The sequence below is a fragment of the Homo sapiens genome, chromosome 1, assembly GCF_000001405.40.
Source record: "Homo sapiens chromosome 1, GRCh38.p14 Primary Assembly".
Classification (NCBI taxonomy): Eukaryota; Metazoa; Chordata; class Mammalia; order Primates; family Hominidae; genus Homo; species Homo sapiens.
The window spans coordinates 156,192,510-156,212,800 of record NC_000001.11 but is presented as its reverse complement, the minus strand read 5'-3'; the positions used below and the strand labels follow the sequence as shown (position 1 = coordinate 156,212,800).

Here is a 20,291-nt window from a genome sequence, read left to right as displayed (position 1 = left end):
AAGCTCGGGGGCTCAATAAAAACTTTTAATTACATTTCAGAGACTTCGTACAGTGCAACAGTGAATATTCACTGTTAATTTTCACAAGAGTCCATTTCATCAAACGTTCAGAGAGTCTGCCTTTTCATTCCCTTGTTCCTCAGTGCTCCAATCAGGTTTCCAGTCTCCCAGAGGTTTCTTTTAGTTTTGATTACCGACCAAAACTCCAGTTTAGGGAGAATGGAAGTCCACCGTCCCATCCCCACCAAAACATATTTCAGTCAAACCCAATCCCAGTCCCTAAAGAATTAGGAAAGTATGGGCCAAGGGTCCTTTTAATTATACACACATCACCCTTAAAACTGCGTGTGTGTACGAGAAATAAAGAAAAACACAAGAGGGGCTGTAAAATACTGCACAAGACAACAAAACAGAAGGAAAGTCTTGAGGGAGAAACACTAAGACGCGAGCGGCAGGATCCTACCTCCTGTCCGTGACACTCCCCATTGACACCTTCCCCACTGTGCCATGGCGGGGAAGGACTAAAGTCGAGTCTCTAGGGTCTCTAGAGGTCTTGCTAGGATGAGCTTAAAGAGATGGGGTGAGGGTGGGGGGAACTGCTTCCATTATATTTGTGGTTCTCAGGGTTAAGCAGTGAGGAGGGGCAGGAAGATTCAGAATGATCCGTGGGTCCAACCCTTTGGATGTGAACATTCCTGGATAGAAACTGGAGGACTCTCTTGACAAAGTGCAGGAAGGGATAAACAAAAATAAGATCAAGTGAAATGGGAAAACCCTCAAAGAGATCAAGATGGGCAGTGGTGGTGGTGAAGGTAGAGAAGTGGTTTTCAGAACCTGTTCTGGCCAAGGTGGAAGAATGTGCGGCAGCCATGAAGAAATATCAAGGCTTCAGGTAGCTAGCACCTTTCAAACTGGCACCATGGCCTTTCCCAGGGGGTGGGACCAATAGGGTTTGGAGGATCATCCAGGTCACACGTCTCAGGTAGAAATGCAGGGTTTGACATGCCTTCTCTATTTGCTGCACCTCTCTACCTGCAACACAGGCTTGGGGAGAGTAGCGGTAGGGAGGAAGGAGCACTCCTCTCCTAGCTCCTGAGGAGAGCATCAGATAATCTTGGCAGTATCAGGCTGGTAAATGCAGTGGTCCTGGTATTGGGTGACTTTCTGAACTGCTCTTTATGTTCTTCCAGCATTCCTCCACAGGGTACCATGACTGGGATGACTACGCATCCAGTGATGTGGATCTTAGAGATCACCATAGTGAGACAACACTTGTTGCCGTAAGTCTGAGTGATTGGGGTATTTATGTGTATGTCATGGCTGCCTGGGGCAGAGAATCTACCCACTGCCCTCTCCTAGGTTTGGCTCTGCTGGCCTGGGTAATGTGCTGGGGAACACATGCCCACTTGTTGCCTTCTAGATCAACTACTTTCTCAACCTGACTTCTCAAGGTAGTGCTCCAAGTCCAGTGCACCCAAGACAGCCTGATCCACTTAGAACTGTGCCCACCACGGGAGTCCTCTGGGCCAGGGGATGCCCCAGCTTAGACTCTCCTAGGGCTCCTGAGACTGAAGGGACAGGGAAGTGGCTTGTGGAAAAAGCTACATTACATTTTTCTACCTGTCTTAGGAAGGGGGTGAGCTCTGACAGCAGGATTGGCGCTTTAGCAGGACTAATAGCCTGGTTCACAGATGTTAAAACACACACACACACACACACACACACACACACACACACACACACAAAACAAAAGTATCAACATTTCTCCCAACCTAATAACCCCTCCAAAGAGAGGACGAGTGCTCTGGAGAACCAGAGATTTTTTGCTGCTCCTGCTCCCTGTGCAAATAAGTACCTGGCACCTTAGCCCCAAATGCAGGGAAAAGCAGAGTCATCTAGTGGGCAGCTCGGTCCCAAAATAAAAATAAGCAAGGCTAAGAGATGAAGGGAGAGAGGGTTGATAGCAGCTGCTTGGAGTCTGGGCTGAAAGCCCAAGAGGAAGAACCAGTGGTAGTAAGCAAGCTCTATGTACAGCTCTTCTCAGGGTCTCAGGGACACAGATGGAAGGGGAAGCCAGAAGAAGGGCTGGCAGGGTGGGGGGTGGGGTCTTTAGGCCAGTATCAAATACAGGGACTGAGTGAGGGAGCCCAGCTCAGAAGAGAATTTTAAATAGTGGGGGCAAGGGATCCAGGCGTGGAGCCTCTTCAGCAAGAGCAGTTCAAAGTCTCTATCCCTATCCCAGATAGGCCACTTGGCCCAGGGCAGGGCTGGGTGTGTGGTGGGAGCACCTGGAGAGGGTGCTGTCCTCTCCACTCTGCCCCTGACCCACGGTAGTGTGGAAAACAGCAGGCTTCTCTCCCCACCACTGGTTACCAGTGTCTCGAGTCCACCAGCTCAGGTCGGAGGCTGAGTTTCTTGAGGCTCTCATAGCCCACCACAATGACAATGGTGGAAGGTGTGGCTGAGATGATTCTGGCCGAGAGGCCCTTCATGAGGCCCCAAGGCCCTTCTTCTGCCATCAGCTGTCTGAAGGTCAGGATGATGGAGTTCTTGCCCTCAACCTGGAAAAGTCAACACAGTGGAGGGCCATTGTCTGTAGTCAGAGCCCCTCTGCTCAATCTCCCTCTGCCTTAGGCTAAAGTGGGGAGAACCAGACTCCGACGTCGGAAGGTGTGGATTCTGCTTGTGAGGGATGGTACAGCACAGTGATTTAGTATGAGCCCTGGTGCCTGACTGCCTGAGTTTGAATTCTGCTCCCCAACCTACTAACAACATAACCTTGGGTAATTTACTTAACTCTTTGTGCCCCAATTTCCTCAAATATAAAACAGTGATAATAGTACCTGCACCACGAGGTTGTTATGAGCAAGAAAAAAAAAATATTCATAAATACTAACAAGAGTGGTGGCAGATAGTTAAGTGTACAATAAATGTTAGCTATCATTGATATCATGAGATAATCTATGTAGCTATGAGTCTTCGGACTAGATGCTGCTCTCTGGTCTCAGGGAGGCTGGGTTAAATCCTCTCTAAGACCCTCTGCAGCTCTGCCAGTCTGATTTTGATTCTGATCATTTCAATCCCTTGAAGCCCCAGAGCTGGAACCTTCCTCTCCATCTCTGCCATCTCTCACACACCCCATGAACAAATATAGGCATCTTCCCTCTCACACTGAAAGCCTGGCCAAGCAGAAATCACTTCTCTCTTCTTTCTCAACAGTCCCACACCCTCCCCAACCCCTAAACTACACCTTTAGAAACCACTCCTCAGCCCCTCGGCCAATACAGGACAGACTCACTCCTTGTTCATACCTCCCTTTATATGATATGACCTTCACAAGGTATCCCAGCCATGGCTAAGAACATCCCCCGCTTCCGCCCTACCTCCTTCAGCACCCTCCTCCGCACTCCCTTCTTCCTCTCCAATACTCTCTCATGTGACCGTCTCTGCTTCCCTAACCCTTCCACTTTTTCCACAGCCATGTCAAGGACTTTTTCACCTATGCCTCTGGGTCTTTCCAGCCTGGAAGCTCCTCAAAGTAGAGACCTGTCCTTTCCCTTGGATCTCCTCCTAGAACGCCCAGAACAAGGCTCAGGAAAGAATGAGGACTGACCCTGTGCACTTTATTATTTGCAAACCAACCAGATGCCAGTGTATTCATTTTCAAATGAGGGGGCATTCTTTCCTAGGAACAAAAATACCTATATTTGTTACTTATCTGCTTCCCAACATCCTGGTACTAGGGAAGCTGATTTTATCTCCAACCTGTTAAGGTTATCTTCCTTCCCTCCTCCCCTCACCATAACCCAGTGACTTCATTCTCTTGTACAACTTTGATTCTCCACCTCAAATCAGACATAAAACTTTATATGGCAACACCTACTATTTGCATATTACATATCATCATTCAGATTCTATTTCCCTGGTCTAGGTGCTGTGTAACTGTCTTTAAGCTGACTGAAGACAACCATTACTATGGGCTTTGTCAGGGTTTTGCTGCATCCACACCATAAAATCTGTGAAACCTATTTAAGTCACTCTCATAATCCACAGAGAACTTATGGCCTACTGGAAAAACCAGACAGACTTATGAATTAACTGAAATCGATATTTCTTATAACCACAAACCTGCAAGGTAAAGGAAAGAGTCGTTGATAGGCTATGCTAATAGGCTATGGAATAGGACTCCAATAAAGGCTGGAAGAAACCAGTAAGATTTCCTGGAGGCATGGGCATGTGATGGAGGAGAGGTATGCAAGGTAGCAGACAGAGTGAGAAGCATTCCAGGTACTTTAAGTGCTGGGCGGGCTTCTTTTATTTATTTATTTTTTTTTGAGACAAAGTCTCACTCTGTCACCCAGGCTGGAGTGCAGTGGCGTGATCTCGGCTCAATGCAACCTACACCTCTGGGCTCGAGTGATTCTCCTGCCTCAGCCTCCCGAGTAGCTGGGACTATAGGCGCATGCCAACACACCCAGCTAATTTTTTATTTTTAGTAGAGACAGGGTTTCACCATGTTGGCCAGGCTGGTCTCGAACTCCTGGGCTCAGGTGATCTGCCCGCTTCGGCCTCCCAAAATGCTGGGATTACAGGCGTGAGCCACTGTGCCTGGCTGTGGGCTGGCTTCTGCAGATGCTAAGCACACAGAAGGGGCTTAGATGTTCAGGAGAAGACTGACTGGACTAGAGGGCCAGGACACAAAGAGGTCAGGGCAACACTGGAGGGCTTGAAGGTCATGCTTCTAATGGCTTCTCCAGGAGGAGGGTGAGGGAAGTGGTCAGTCTTACCTGCACACGGGTTCGTATGACATCCATGGGATTGGTGAGGATGGAGGCAGTGGCTGCAGCCAGGGGCCCCGAGACAGCTTGAAAGACAATGTGAGGGCACTCCTTAGGACACAGGTAGGAGAGCTGCTCTGGAATCCAGGGAAAGACAATGGCTAAAGACACAAAGCACCACCGGTCTGCCCTCACTGTGCTTGCTGCTTCTACCAGGTGGCTTTCCCAACCCAGACAAACCCTCCACCCTTCACCACCTAAGTCCTATCTTTTATTTTCTCTGCTTCCTTCAAAAAACTATTAAGTCTCAGGCCCTTTCCAGGAGTCATCTTGGTGATATCACCCATTTATTTTGATTGATTTTTTTTCTTTTGAGACAGGGTCTCTCTGTGTCACACAGGTTGGAGTGCAGTGGCATGATCATGGCTCACTGCAGCCTCAATCTCCTGGGCTCAAGCAATCCTCCCATCTCAGCATCCCCAGTAGTTGGGTCTATAGGCTTGTGCTACCATTCCCAGCTAATTTTTTTAAAAATGTTTTGTAGTGCCGGGCGCGGCGGCTCACGCCTGTAATCCCAGCACTTTGGGAGGCCAAGGCGGGCAGATCATGAGGTCAGGAGATCAAGACCATCCTGGCTAACATGGTGAAACCCCGTCTCTACTAAAAATACAAAGAAAATTAGCTGGGCATGGTGGCAGGCGCCTGTAGTCCCAGCTACTCAGGAGGCTGAGGCAGGAGAATGGCATGAACCTGGGAGGCGGAGTTTGCAGTGAGCCAAGATCGCGCCACTGCACTCCAGCCTGGGCGACAGAGCAAGACTCTGTCTCAAAAAAAAAAAAAAAAATGTTTTGTATAGAGAGTCTCACTATGTTGCGCAGGCTGGTCTTGAACTCCTGGACTCAAGCAATTCTCCCACCTCAGCCTCCCAAAGTGTTGGAATTACAGGTAGGAGCCACTGGACCTGGCCAACATCGTCCATTTAAACAGGACAAGATTCCTTGGAGAGGGAGATTTCAAAATTTGCTTGCTGACTCCTTTCATCTGATGGGCAGAAAATCCTTCCTGATGTAAAAGCCTTATGCCTCTTGCCCTGTTCCTCCCAACTCATAGGCTAGAAAAGCACACACTAAATATTTGCTTCTATATGCATTGAGTAACTCTGGTAGGATACATTAAAAACCAGTGACATGGCCAGACAGTGGTGGCTCAAGCCTGTAATCCTAGCACTTTGGGAGGCCAAGATGGGTGGATCACCTGAGCCCAGGAGTTTGCAACCAGACTGGACAACATGGTGAAACCCCTCCTCTACCAAAAATATAAAAATTAGCCGGGCATGGTGGTGCGGGCCTGTAGTCCCAGCAACTTGGAAGGCTGAGGTGGGAGGATCACCTGAGTCCTGGAAGTAGAGGCTGCAGTGAGCCATGATCACGCCACTGCACTGCAGCCTGGGCATCAGAGTAAGACCCTGTCTCAAAGAAAAATTAAAGCTGGATGTGGTGGCTCACGCCTGTAATCCCAGCACTTTGGGAGGCAGAGGTGGGCAGATCACCTGAGGTCAGGAATTTGAGACTAGCCTGACCAACATGGTGAAACCCCGTCTCTACCAAAAATACAAAAATTAACCGGACGTGGTGGTGCACACCTGTAATCCCAGCTATTCGGGAGGCTGAGGCAGGAGAATCACTTGAACCTGGGAGGCAGAGGCTGCATGAGCTGAGATCTCGTCATTGCACTCCAGCCTAGGCGACAGAGCAAGACTCCATCTCAAAAAAAAAAAAAAAAAATTAAAAATGAAATAAAAACTAGTGACACTGACTGTCTCTACAGAAGGGAACCAGGTGGGTAAGGAGCCTTTTCGTTGCATACTACATACCCTTTCTTAACTTTTGAATTTTGAAACATGTGCATGTTTTAAAAAATAAAAACAATATTAAAATAGAAAGTCACATCCTACAATAAGCACTTTTCTCCAGCCTATATCAAGAAAGAAAATTCATCTTTCAAAATGCTAATGAAGATGGAATGGTACCCAGGTTAACCCATCCCAGTACCACTGAGAAGTCTACCTGCAATTGAATTTTCTTTTTACTCTCTCTGGAGGTGAAAGACAACATGTTCATTCATTTATTCAACAAAGATTTATTGAGTGACTACCATGAGCTGGTCATCCTGGATCCTGAGGATTTAACAGTAAATAAAAGAGCCTCAAATTCCTGTGCTTAGGAAATTTATATTCTAGTGTGAAGAGATAATAAACAAATAAAAAGCAAAATACACAGCTATGTCAGCAGGTATGTGCTATAGATAAAAATAAAGCAGGAAAGGGAGATAGGGAGGCCAACAGTGGAAGGGAAGGGGTTGCCATTTTATTTTTTATTTTCTGAGACCTCTCAGGGATAAAGGATGAAAGCCCATTCCAAGAAGGTGAAGTCTGAGCAAAGACCTGAAGGAGACAGTGCAAGCCACATGGATCTGTAGACAGAGCTTTCAAAGCAAGGGATAACATCCTATGCAAGGGCCCTGAGGACAAGCATACAGCAAGTGTTCGAGGGGCAGCCAAGCCCAGTACCCTGGAGCAGTATGAGTAAGGGAAGGAACAGCATATGAGATCCAAGAGGTAAGTCACTTAGGGTTTTCTCTTCTATAGTTCAGTTATCATACCTTTTAAGAATTTTTTCCTCGGCCAGGCGTGGTGGCTCACGCCTGTAATCCCAGCACTCTGGGAGGCAGAGGCGGGCGATCACCTGAGGTCGGGAGTTCAAGACCAGTCTGACCAACATGGAAAAACCCCGTCTCTACTAAAAATACAAAATTAGCCAGGTGTGATGGCGCATGCCTATAATCCCAGCTACTTGGGAGGCTGAGGCAGGAGAATCGCTTGAACCCGGGAGGTGGAGGTTGCGGTGAGCCAAGATCACACCATTGCATTCCAGCCTGGGCAACAAGAGCGAAACTCCATCTCAAAAAAAAAAAAAATTTTTTCCTCATGCTCCTAGTTTTAGTAGTTTGTGGCCAGGGAGAAGTAGGGAGGTGGAGGCTGGCAGGGCAGAAGTGAGAGCTTCCAAGTCTCAGCTGGGATGGCAGAATTCCCTAAACCTCACCAGAACCACCTCTCCCCCAGTTCTTATATACTCTCTTCCCCAGAATCAGCATACAAACAGAAACAGAGTGAACTGGTGGCTCAGCCTCACTGGTATCCTGTTTCTCCCAAGAAAAAGGCATTTTGCAATCATTAAACTGTAGCATCTGGACCAGGCGTGGTGGCTCACACTTTTCGAAGGCTGAGGCAGGTGGATCACCTGAGGTCAGGAGTTCAAGACCAGCCTGGCCAACATGGTAAAACCCCATCTCTACTAAAAATACAAAAAATTTGCCGGGTGTGGCAGCAGGCGCCTGTAATCCCAGCTACTCAGTAGGCTGAGGCAGGAGAATTGCTTGAACCTGGGAGGTGAAGGTTGCAGTGAGCCAAGATCATGCCATTGCACTCCAGCCTGGGCAACAACAGTGAAACTCCGTTTGAAACAAACAAAAAAACCAACTGTAGCATGTGGACTGGCACTGCCTGCCTCCTTGGGCCTGTCTATTCTGTCCTCCAGGCCTGTAAGCTACAGCAGATCCAGATTCCAATTTTAATCATGCACATATGCCACTTTCCTGGGGCTTGGGGAGAAGATGAAACACACAAGCAAGAAAGTGGTAGAAATAACTCCATGTCAGACAGGGCACGGTGGCTCATGCCTGTAATCCCAGCACTTTGGGAGGCCGAGGCAGGTGGATCACCTGAGGTTGGGAGTTTGAGACCAGTCTGGCCAACATGGAGAAACCCCATCTCTACTAAAAAAACAAAATTAGCTGGGCGTGGTGGCTCATGCCTGTAATCCCAGCTACTCGGGAGGCTCAGGCAGGAGAATTGCTTGAACCTGGGAGGTGGAGGTTGCAGTGAGCCAGGATCATGCCATTGTACTCCAGTTTGGGCAACAAGAGCAAAACTCCATCTCAAAAAAAAAAAAAAGAAGAAGGGCCAGGCGCGGTGGCTCATGCCTGTAATCCCTGCACTTCGGGAGGCCGAGGCGGGCGGATCACAAGGTCAGGAGATCAAGACCATCTTGGTTAACACGGTGAAACCCCATCTCTACTAAAAATACAAAAAACTTAGCTGGGCATGGTGGCATGTACCTGTAGTCCCAGCTACTCGGGAGGCTGAGGCAGGAAAACGGCGTGAACCCAGGAGGCGGGGCTTGCAGTGAGCCGAGATCGCGCCACTGCACTCCAGCCTAGGCAACAGAGTGAGACTCTGTCTCAAAAAAAAAAAAAAAAAAAAAAGGAAAGAGAATGAAAGAAGGAAGGAAGGGAGGGAGGGAGGGACTCCACATCTTTCATTTTTCTCCATTAGTCATTCAAGAAACATTTAAGAATCTCTTATCTACCAGGCAAAAGATGAACTCAGGCTGACTTGGTTTAAGTCCCACTTGGCTAAGACTGGCTTGACTCTGGACAAGTATTTAATGATATAAATGAGTACTTAATAATAGATGCCAGGCACCATGATAAGTACCAGACATAGAACAGAGACATGGACAGGGAGATGCCTTCATGGAATTTATATTCTAACTAAGGAGCTGGGAGTTGGGGGTAAAATAACTGCAAATTATGACAAGTACTAAGAAGGAAACAAGGTGCTGAAATATAAAACAGAAAGAGCCCTCTTTCCAATAGAATAAAGTCCTTTTCGCAAAGGTGACATGTAAGCTGAAGCCTGAAGCATGAGAAGGAGCCAACCACATAAAGAACAGGGGAAAGGGTGTCCGGGCAGAGAAGAGTATCTGCAAAGGCCTTGAGGCAAGAACAGAGCCTGATGTATACCAGGAACTGAGGGAAGAGCAGTGAGGAAGAGCAGAGTGGCACAAGGTGGGGCTGGAAAAGCAGACAGGAGTCAGAGCAATAGAGATGTATAGACCATGGAAAGGAAAACTGATTTTATTCTAGATGCCGGTAAGGAACCACTGGCAGATTTTAAGCAAAAAGGAGTAGCAAGAACCAGTCTATTAATTCAAAAAATATTTACTGAGCAATTAAGTTTCACCAGACCCTGAGCTAGGTGTTGGGAGGTACAATAGTGAACAGAAACGGACATGATCCCTGTTCTTATAGACCACTTACATCGCAGGGTTATTGTGAGGTTGGAATTATGAGATATACAAGCCCTCACACAGAGCCCTGGCACACATGGGCATTCAATAAATGTTAGTTTCCTCCCCCTTCCAAGAACCTTTCCACATAGCAGAAGAGATAGGGCACACACAAATAACATCAAAGCAAATGTATAACTGCCTTAAGAAAGATTCAATGTCATGGGGATGAAAAAGGGGAAAGATCACTTCTGGGTTTAAGGGTTACATGGAGAGGAAGGAAGAGGAGGCAATAAGGAGCACTTAAGGTAAGTCATGATTGCGCCAGGGGTAAGCAAACCTGGGAGGCATCTAGGTAGAGGGGTGGCAGGAACAAAACACGGTGGTAGGAGAGGTGATGTATGGTTGAGGAATTGTGCACTACCTGCCCAGGCTACAGCACAGACTGCCTATACCTAGGGGAGAAGCAAGAGATTTCACTGTGAAGGGAGACTGAAGCCAGGCTGAAGAGTTTGGATTTTATTCAGTAAGCAGTGGAAGCCACTGAACATGACAACGCAAGTTGAAAAGGTCAGTCCATTAGAGATGTATGTGATGGACGGGAAGGAAGAGAACTCAGGAGGGAACAGCTAGAAAGCTGATGCAGCAGTCTGGGAGGAAGGTAACAGAGGCATGGTTTCCAGGGAAGGCAGCAGGTATGAAGAGAAAGTTGGGAGAGAAATTCTAGAGTTACCAGGACTAGACATGGGGACAAGAAAGAAGGAGTAGTCAAGCACAATCCCCAAGACTTCAGTCTCAGTGAACTGAAGAATAACAAGGCCACTGACCAATGAAAGTAAGTCAGAAAAGAGAGCCAGCTTGGGATGAAGACTAGTTAATTGAAGAAAGTTTTAGACATAAGTTGATGCATGTAGATGGAGAAGTCCTACAGTCAGAATGTCTGTCCAGAACTCTCGACAGGCTAGTCTGAGAATGGAAGTAGAGATGATGGACACGTCAGAAAAATGCAGCTCTAATTGTAAATGCAGTCAAGTGAGGAGAGAAGGCTAAAGACAGGCTCCAGAGAAAATGCTCACATTTCCTGGGAAGCTTTTTTAACATTAAAGGGTCAGGGTAGAGTCCAGGAACCTGACTTTTAACAAATACCCCAGAGGAAACATTGTGCTAAATAGAAGTAATAGAGCTAGCAAAAAAAGAAGAAGAAAGAAGAAAAAGAAGGAAGAAGAAAGAAAAAAGGAAGAAGAAACAAAAGAAGAAGAGGAGGAGGAAGAAGGAAGAAGAAGAAAGCAGAAAGAAGAAGAAGAAAGAAGCAATAATCAGAAAAACAAAAGAAGCACCAGGAAAGTACAGAGCCACAGAAACAAAATCATTACAGGTTAAGAAGGCATGAAAATTTTGGTCAGAAGTTTCCAATGGGGTGGGACAGAATGCCCACTACCAAGGGTTGGGAGCCAACAGCAGGGATTAGGGAGGCTTCAAACATAGGCTGCCCTAACGGGAATTTCATGGTTACTCAAAGCTGTGGGTGGATGTCCCAGGGTAGCAGGCACACTCAAGTCCTGCTCTTCAACAATGCACCCTGCCCTTTGAGAAGGCAATCTGGCAGTATGTTTATGGAAGCCCTCAAAAATGTTATCTTTGACTCAGTAACCCCATTTCTAGGAAATAGGAAATACTTAAAAAGTAAAATGTCTTATGAACAAAGATACATTACAGGAGTGGAGAGGTTCAAGGTTATATCACACCTTGAATTTAAAATGCTGAGGGGCTGGTGTCTCACTCCTGTAATCCCAGCACTTTGGGAGGCCGAGGCGGGCAGATCACGAGGTCAGGAGCTCAAGACCAGCCTGACCAACATGGTGAAACCCCATCTCTACTAAAAATACAAAAGTTAGCCAGCCATGGTGGCAAACGCCTATAGTCCCAGCTACTCGGGAGGCTGAAGCACAAGAATCGCTTGAACCCGGGAGGTGGGGGTTGCAGTGAGCCAAGATCTCACCACTGCACTACAGCCTAGGTGACAGAGTGAGACTCCATCTCAAAAAAAAAAAAAAAAAAAAAATGCTGAGGAAAACATCCAAGTCAAAAGCTCACTATTACCCATCCTAAACTTCAAATCCTAAACATCCCATGGCTTTTGTCCTCCCCCACCTTCCAGTGACTCCAAAGCACACAGAGCATATGCTGCACACTGTTCTAGCCTTTATACCTGTCTGCTTCCCTCACTACATTAGAAGCTCCTTGAAAGTATAAAAACCATGTTTTATGCATCTTTAAATCCTCCTGGATTCAAACATTTGCTGAGTGAATGACCCATTCCCCCATTAAATCTCACCTCCACTCTAACATGCACAAAGCAACAGTATCTCAGCCCCATTAGAAATCCCACCTTCCTCCCCCACTGTCCTGGCCCCTGCTTACCTGCATAGAAGTGATAGAAGGGCCACCAGACAGCACTGTTTGGGATATAGGTAAGCAGTGAAGCCACATAGCCTCGATAGAAGCCGCGAAGTCCATCAGCCTGCAGGATCTGCCTGATGATGTCCTTGGTTTGGCCAAAGGCAACTACCCCTTGTCCCTCTGGGTTCCCCCGCACCTGAAAGCGGCCCATTTTCTCACCCTTGCGTTGCATCATCAGGTGCTGGGAGACTACATCAATGGGCACTGTGATGCTCTGGGCCACAAGGGAGGCTGAGCCACCAGCCACCAGTGATTTGACTGTGTTACTCTGGCTGTAGTCAGCTACAAACTTCCGGGTGAGCTCATAAGTGGTGACATAACACTGGCCAGAGATGAGGGTGAAGGTATTGACCAGGAACCCTCGGTAGAGGCCAGTGATACCATCTGCTCGCAGGATCTTGATGAAGGCATCGAAGGTCCCATGGTAGAGGCTCTTCCCCTTCTGAACTTGCAACCGGGTGCGGATGAGGGTGAATGGGTAGACACTGACACGGATCATCATTGTCATTGCCACACCAAACACGTAGAACTTCTTCTTGTCCAGGTGTTCCCACTCGATGATCTGGATGTTGCGTTTGTCCTCCATGGTGCCTGAAGACCTGGGATTTGAGCAGTATGGAGGGATGTGAAGAAGGAGGGTGGAGCTTTGTGCTTTCCCCTTCTGGCTGGGCTCTGAAGGCCCATTCTCAGCCCTCATCTCCTGGACACTCACCTGCCCAAAGCTTGGACTCCACCCAATCTGGCTCTGTCAATCCCCACTTGAGTCTTCTTTCATAGATCAGGATACTGTCCCCTTCTTGGTCCTTGGCCAGGCCTTCCTTACTCAGTTTCCCTCCTCCAGAAATTGTCCCTCACTTCAATGATTCCCCTGGCTCCATGGCCTCCTCGGCTCCCTACCCCAGCTTACAGGATCTTCTATCCGGACTCTCTGCCTCTGTCTGGGCCCTGGTATCACTACTCTGGCCAGGAATCATTCTTTTTGTCTGGCTCACCCAAGCAGAGCTCAGGATGCTATGGACAAACCAACTACCTGGCAGGATGCAGGGCCTTTAAGCAGGTGAATGGGACATCACTAAGTGACATTTGGGAGGCTCCTGAAGGCTGAAAGGGACTGTTCCCGTTTTGATGCTCCTGGGCCTACTGAGGAGGCATCACCTGTGGCCTTGCACCCTCAGCAGGGTGCCTCTGATCGCCACCTACGAACTGACTCATTTTGTTTCTGGTTTCCTGTGCTGGCCTCTCAGAGCTCCCCTGACCCACAGTCACTACATTTATGATACTTTCTCCCGTCTGCATTGGAAGAAAGTATAGAGGAGAGGGCAAGTGGGGCTTTCACACCACAGGGCACCCCCCTCAACCTCCCCTTCCTCCAGCAAAAGGAGTTAGAAAGTCAGGAACAGGCCAAAGGGCAGAGTCCTCTTCAGTTATTAGATAACTTGCTCTGAGAAAAACAGAAAAGAACCACCTGAGAGCTAAGTAGTTTCCCTGAAGAGTCTGGGGAACTACAGAGTACAGAACACGTTGGACCCCATGCTTTCAACTCTAAGCATATAAACCACAACCTCAGTCTTAGATAATGAAGGGGGAGAAGTGACAGAGGAGATAGACTCTGACTTCAAGAAACCGTCTGTTCAAGGATACACAGTATCGCTCTGGGGAATGGATACAAGATACAGAGGAAAAGGCTGGACACAGTGGCTCACGCCTATAATCCCAACACTTTGGGAGGCCAAGGTGGGAGGATCACCTGAGCCCAAGAGCTCAAGGTCAGCCTAGGCAACATAGGGAGACTCCGTCTCTACAATATATAAAAATAAGTTAGCCAGGCATGGTGGCATGCACCTGTGGTCCCAGCTACTTGGGTGGCTGAGGTGGGAGGATCACCTGAGCCCTGAAGGTTGGGGCTGCAGTGAGCCATGATCACACCACTGCACTCCAGCCTAGGAGACAGTGAGACTCCATCTCAAAAAAAAAAAAGATACAGAGGGAAGGAAACCAGAGTATGTTGATGCACATGTAGCCCTCATGTTAAGTGTATCCAATGCCTAGAATTTCAAACAAAACTAACAAGCTTACTAATTTCAAAATTGTATAAAATCAGGAGCTTCACATTTAGGAAATGTCAAATCAGAGGACATCATTTATTAGACATACTTAGTGGTAATATGATGTGCTCCAGTGTATCCCACCGCTGTTCTGTAAGATACTAGAAATTTTCAGCCAGAAAGGGAGACTGGGAAGATAAATTCCAGGAAATGAGAAGCAGGGGCTCCCCAGACTTTAAGAGAAATCCCAGAGAAAGGAGGTAGCCACATCACAGGGACAACTCTAGGGGGCTGAAACATTCTACACTAGCAGTTCCAGTAGCAAACCTCATGCCAAGCATCTAATCAGAGAACGTCCTCAACCACCTTCCCCAGCCAAAGGTCCCAACTCAGGCTTCAGGTAGCTTTTATTCCATGAGAACTGCCTTTTGATTACCATGGAAGCAAGGGCAGCTTTTCAGGATTCCCTGAGCTGGACCGTATAACTTTCGTTAAAATAGGGACTACCTGCAGTGCAAACTGAGTACTTGAGAGCTGAGGGGAAACCTTAGCTTCAAGGTAAGGATTGAGGGAGGTGCACATAACCCGCACAGGATTCCTACAGGACAAAGCAGTTTTTTTGTTTTTTTTTTCAGACGGAGTCTCGCTCTGTCGCCCAGGCTGGAGTGCAGTGGCGCGATCTCCACCCACTGCAAGCTCCACCTCCCGGGTTCATGCCATTCTCCTGCCTCAGCCTCCCAAGTAGCTGGGACTACAGGCGCCTGCCACCACGCCCGGCTAATTTTTTTAATTTTAGTAGAGACGGGGTTTCACCATGTTAGCCAGGATGGTCTCGATCTCCTGACCTCGTGATCCACCCGCCTCGGCTTCCCAAAGTGCTAGGATTACAGGCATGAGCCACCGCACCCAGCCGGGACAAAGCAGTTTGAATGAAGGATAATCCATGTAGATAGTGAAAGAGAGAGAACAATGGCTTGGAAATGAGAAGACAGAAGTCAACTGGATTGGCAAGATTGGAAAATCTAGGCTGTGGAAAATGAGCTAGAGGCAAAGTTCTGCCGTCAAGAGAACCCCTAGAACAATGATATGCCACTTGCTGTAGGCAAAGGTGGCCCTCCTCCCCAGCCTCAGCCTGGGGGACCCACTAAGCCCTGTGGGGCAATATTCTCCTTTGAGCTCTTCAAAAGGTGGTCACTGTCTCTTCTGCCCCAGAGTGGCTGCCATCTAGGGTCGCAAGATCATATTTCCAACACCAGTGAGAAGTGAGAAGATACAGAGAAACACCAGGATTGACTACTACCTCATGTAATCCTTACAGTTTAACTTGTGTACAGTTAGACACTTCTGATAAATGAGGAAATGGAGGGTCAGGTAGGTTAAAAGTAACAGGCCCAAGGTCACACAGCTGGTCAATGGAAGAGGCAGATATGAGCCAAGATTTCTCCTCTACTCCACCATGCCTTCTACCTTATGGGATTTGAAGAATTCTCACACAAATCACTGTTTAAAGCCAAGTCATTCCCACCTCTGGAAGGCAGAATTAATGCCCTTATGGCTGCAGGTCACTCAACAGTTAAGCATAAGCTCCTGGCCATGCAGATGCCCAGAGACTTCTTGCAGCTCTGTTCCAGAGAAACCAAGAGCTGCCTCTGCTTTCCTAGTGTGTCTGTGGACTGACCAAGCTTAATGGCTGGCAGTCACGTTGTCAACACAGACAAATACAGCAGGGCTCAAGCAGGAGGGCCTCCTGCCAGGCACATGCAAAATGCATGCTCTGCAGGGCAGAGGGTCAGAGCAGCTAAAAGACAGAGCAACCAGGGATTCTGTTCCAGGACCTGGTTTCATGGCACCTTCTCAATTTATCAAGCTGAAACACCAAGTATCAGCATCTCCTGATGAGAAATCCTAAGACAGGATCCGATTTCCCACCTTGTCTCCATCTCTCACATATGCCAATCTATTTTAAACTCCCACAAGGAAGTGGGGACTTTCCGAGGCAGGTAACCCCTATCCAAGGGTCATGCCTTAGAGGGATAAGCCACTACAACAGAAGAGAGGGCACTGCACCCACTCCCTTTACCCCTTCAAAAGGGGCAGGCTGCTCCTAAAAGGTAGGATCTCAACCTGCTCTGTTACATAACTTCCAAACTTCCTGCGGAAATATCAATCCCATTCTTCTTGTTTTACCCTCTGAAAAAATCCTCTTTGCAGATACCTGTATGCAAAGTTCCTCCAGCCTTCCCTTCTCCCAACTTAGTCAGCCCAACTTCTTTAGGGCTCTTTCTCAGACCCTCATGTGCATGGCTCCAATTCCGGATTTTCTTCCACTTTTTAACACTGCTCAGGCACAAATGTTGACGTGCTTCCTCAAGGGACCTAACAGGTGACGCAGAATTAGTGAGCACTTTGTCCTGAAGTAATCAAGTGAAATGTTAGAGGCAGAGCTCTCACTATTGACCCTACCAATGGAAAGGGACAAATAGGCCCAGGGGCATATGCCTCCTCCTCTCCACCTCTACTCTCCTTGTACCAGAAAATTCACATGGGACTGACTATTCACTAGGTTCTGGGATAAGATTCTGGCTCGAGAGAAGGTAGTGTCACCTAGAAGGCAAGGTCATACAACGGAAAGAACACCAGCAATCAGGAGATCCATGTTGAGTTTCACTTCCATTACTCAGTAGTGTAAGACTGGAACCAAGTCACTTCACTGAAATTCAGTTTCCTTGTCTGTTGAATCGGGCTAATAAAGCCTATCAATGCTGTATATGATATGCAACCCCCAGACTATCCGTCGTTCCCAGCGAATGCCGTCCGCTGGTCGCATCTTCCTCCATATCCACTCGGCTCCCGGTACTGCCGCAACCGGAAATTTGGACTCTGTTATTAACGCCCCCTGCGGGGGACGGAGGATGAGCTGTCAGCGATTCCACCAATGGCATTTGAGCCTTTGAGCCTCCCAGGAGCGAGGATGGGCTGACCTTCCGAGAACTGAGGTGAGGCCGGGCCTATAATCCCAACACTTTGGGAGGCCGAGGCGGGCGGACCACGAGGTCAGGAGATCGAGACCATCCTGGCTAACACGGTGAAACCCCGTCTCTACTAAAAATACAAAAAATTAGCCGGGCGTGGTGGTGGGCGCCTGTAGTCCCAGCTACCCGGGAGGCTGAGGCAGGAGAATGGTGTGAACCCGGAAGGCGGAGCTTGCAGTGAGCCGAGATTGCGCCACTGCCCTCCAGCCTGGGTAACAGAGCGAGACTCTGTCTCAAAAAAAAAAAAAAAAATAGAGCTGTAGTACAACTCATATGAGTTAAGAATTGTGAAGGCATTTTGTTAACAGCAAAGCATTATCATTACAGAAAGTTCTACTGGACAGTGATGCTCTAAGTCCTTGCCACCCAAGGTGGTCCACAGACTGGCATCATGGACATCACGTGGGAGCCTGTTAGAAATACAGAATTTCAGGGTGCACCCTAGACCTGCTGAATAAGAACCAAACTTTTATAATAATCAGATCTTTTCAAATCAAATCATCTTCTACAACTCCTGACAAGACACCCATGGGTCCCCATTTCTCAGCTGGAAACAGGGAATAGAGACCAACATCCTCCATTCCTTCTGTTCTCCCTATTGCATCTGCATCCTGGGAGCTATCTACCACATGAACGTGAATATATGTACATGCTTGCCCACCTGTCCTACTGAATATACATTTCCCTAGGGGAATGCCTGGGGATGCCTCCGAACCCTCCTTCGAGATCATCTCCTCCCTACCTCGGACATGGTGAGATTCCCACCCAGCTTTCCTTTGGTCTTCCATAGGTACCCACGTGATCCCTCATCACAGACACCACATGACAATCCTCTCAAGATACTCCGTGGGACACCCCCTTTATGCAGCCTCTGTCCTGGCCCCCGCACACCCAACTCTGGGTCTTCGAACATGCCCCTTGCCGTGCTTCTTCGCTGTCAGCGAATCTCACGATCCTCTGCCAGGAAGAGACGCCTCACCGCAGTTGTCCTTCATTCCCAAAACTGCATGGTACCGCAGCCTGACACCCCAGGCATCCTTTGCCTCCCTGACAAGTGCAGATCCTCAGAGACCTTAGTTGTCAGGGACCTCAAGCCGGCGGCTTCTTACCTTCTCAGACTCCGGCGGCTCCACCGCGTCTGAGGCGAACTCCAAGCCCGGACCTCTAGGCCGCAGCCCCCAGTCTATCCGTCGTTCCCAGCGAATGCCGTCTGCCGGTCGCATCTTCCTCCATCTCGACTGGGCTACCGGTACTGCCGGAACCGGAAATTAGGACTCTGTCATTACCGCCCCCTGCAGGGGGCGGAGGATGAGCTGTCGGGGATTCTGCCAATGGCGTTTGAGCCTTTGAGCCTCCCAGGAGTGAGGATGTGCCGCACTTCCGAGAACTGACGGCCTCCTGGTAGCCATCTTGGATTTGGGCAGTAGCCACGCCTTCTTTACCTTCGTTATGCCCTCAGCGTTAAGGCGCCTGCGTGTTCTGGTTGGGCTCTTTCTAATTGGCGGAAATTGAATCACCAGACGCTTATTGAAGATCCAGTTGTAAATGGGGTCACCTTGTGTTTGGGAGTGTTGGAACCTTTATATTCAAATCAAGGCCGGGCACGGTGGCTCACGCCTGTAATCTCAGAATTCTGGGACGCCGAGTCGGACGGATCACCTGAAGTCCGAAGTTCGAGACCAGCCTGGCCGCCTTGGCGAAACCCCGTCTCCACTAAAAATACGAAATAAATTAGCCGGGAGTAATGGCGCGCGCCTGTAATCCCAGCTAGCCGGGTGGCTGAGGCACGAGAATCGCTTGAACCCGGAGGTTGTAGTGAGCCGAGATCGTGCCACTGGACGGCGACAGAGCGAGACTGTCTCAAAAAGAAAAAAAAAAGAACAAATCTAATGTGTGATTTTTGTATAACTTTTTCTTCTTTCCTCTTTTTTGTTTTTTAGAGTCAAAATACTACTCTATCGCCCAGGCTATAGTGCAGTGGCAAGATCATAGCTCATTGTAACCTGAACTCCTGGGCTCAAGCGATGCTGCGGACTCAGTCTCCCGAAGCGGTGGGATGACAGGCGTGAGCCACTGCGCTTGCCACATTTCTCATTATTTATAGAGCCAAAATAGTAGAGGACAACATGCAGCAGGAATCACTGAGGATACATAGCCAATTTTGAAGTTTGGGAACTCAAAAAACTGCAGCAATGGGGGACAACCTGAAGGTGGAGAAAAATGACATTAAGGTGGAGAAAAATGACAGGGTTAGTGGGTTTTCTCCTCGTGTGCGGAGACGAGAGAGTGTAGAAATAGAGACACAAGACAAAGAGATAAAAGACCGCTGGGCCCGGGGGACCACTACCACCAAGACGCGGAGACCGGTAGTGGCCCCGAATGCCAGGCTGCGCTGATATTTATTGGATACGAGACAAAGGGGCAGGATAAGGAGTGTGAGCCATCTCCAATGATAGGTAAGGCCACATGGGTCACGTGTCCACTGGACAGGGGGCCCTTTCCTGCCTGGCAGCCGAGGCAGAGAGAGAGAGAGGAGAAAGAGAGAAACAGCTTACACTATTATTTCTGCTTATCAGAGATTTTTAGTATTTTCGCTAATTTGCTACTGCTAACTAAAAGGCAGAGCCAGGTGTACAAGATGGAACATCAAGGCAGACTAGGAGCGTGACCACTGAAGCACAGCATCACAGGGAGACGGTTAGGCCTCCGGATAACCGCGGGCGGGCCTGACTAATGTCAGGCCTTCCACAAGAGGTGGAGGAGTAGAGTCTTCTCTAAACTCCCCCGGGGAAAGGAAGACTCCCTTTCCCGGTCCGCTACTGCTAGACCACGGTCCGCTTGGCAAGG

At 48.4% G+C, this 20,291-nt stretch overlaps 1 protein-coding gene across 18 annotated transcripts, besides 3 other annotated features; it reads right to left on the bottom strand.

Moving 5' to 3' along the window:
* Nucleotides 1-4: 4 nt before the first annotated feature.
* SLC25A44 (solute carrier family 25 member 44) lies at nt 5-18,697 on the bottom strand. Of its 18 annotated transcripts, none has more exons than XM_047435097.1 (6): nt 18,554-18,697; nt 16,628-17,308; nt 13,080-13,808; nt 12,329-12,966; nt 4,788-4,939; nt 5-2,561 (listed from the first exon to the last, which is right to left on the bottom strand). In XM_047435097.1, exons 4-6 carry the CDS (start codon nt 12,951-12,953, stop codon nt 2,370-2,372), a joined length of 969 nt encoding a protein of 322 aa, XP_047291053.1. In that variant the 5' UTR covers nt 12,954-12,966; nt 13,080-13,808; nt 16,628-17,308; nt 18,554-18,697; the 3' UTR covers nt 5-2,369. The 18 variants fall into 18 exon arrangements, 15 of the variants coding, with proteins under 15 accessions (XP_047291053.1, XP_047291054.1, XP_011508482.1 ...); XM_047435098.1 differs by having other exon boundaries at nt 4,788-4,915; XM_011510180.2 differs by having other exon boundaries at nt 16,628-16,788.
* Nucleotides 18,271-18,620: an enhancer, noted in NCBI's record as "active region_1853". NCBI's record gives its function as "activates an Ori minimal core promoter by ATAC-STARR-seq in GM12878 lymphoblastoid cells {active_cell/tissue: GM12878}" and the evidence as "EXISTENCE:reporter gene assay evidence [ECO:0000049][PMID:35858748]".
* Nucleotides 18,631-18,680: an enhancer, noted in NCBI's record as "active region_1852". NCBI's record gives its function as "activates an Ori minimal core promoter by ATAC-STARR-seq in GM12878 lymphoblastoid cells {active_cell/tissue: GM12878}" and the evidence as "EXISTENCE:reporter gene assay evidence [ECO:0000049][PMID:35858748]".
* Nucleotides 18,751-19,040: an enhancer, noted in NCBI's record as "active region_1851". NCBI's record gives its function as "activates an Ori minimal core promoter by ATAC-STARR-seq in GM12878 lymphoblastoid cells {active_cell/tissue: GM12878}" and the evidence as "EXISTENCE:reporter gene assay evidence [ECO:0000049][PMID:35858748]".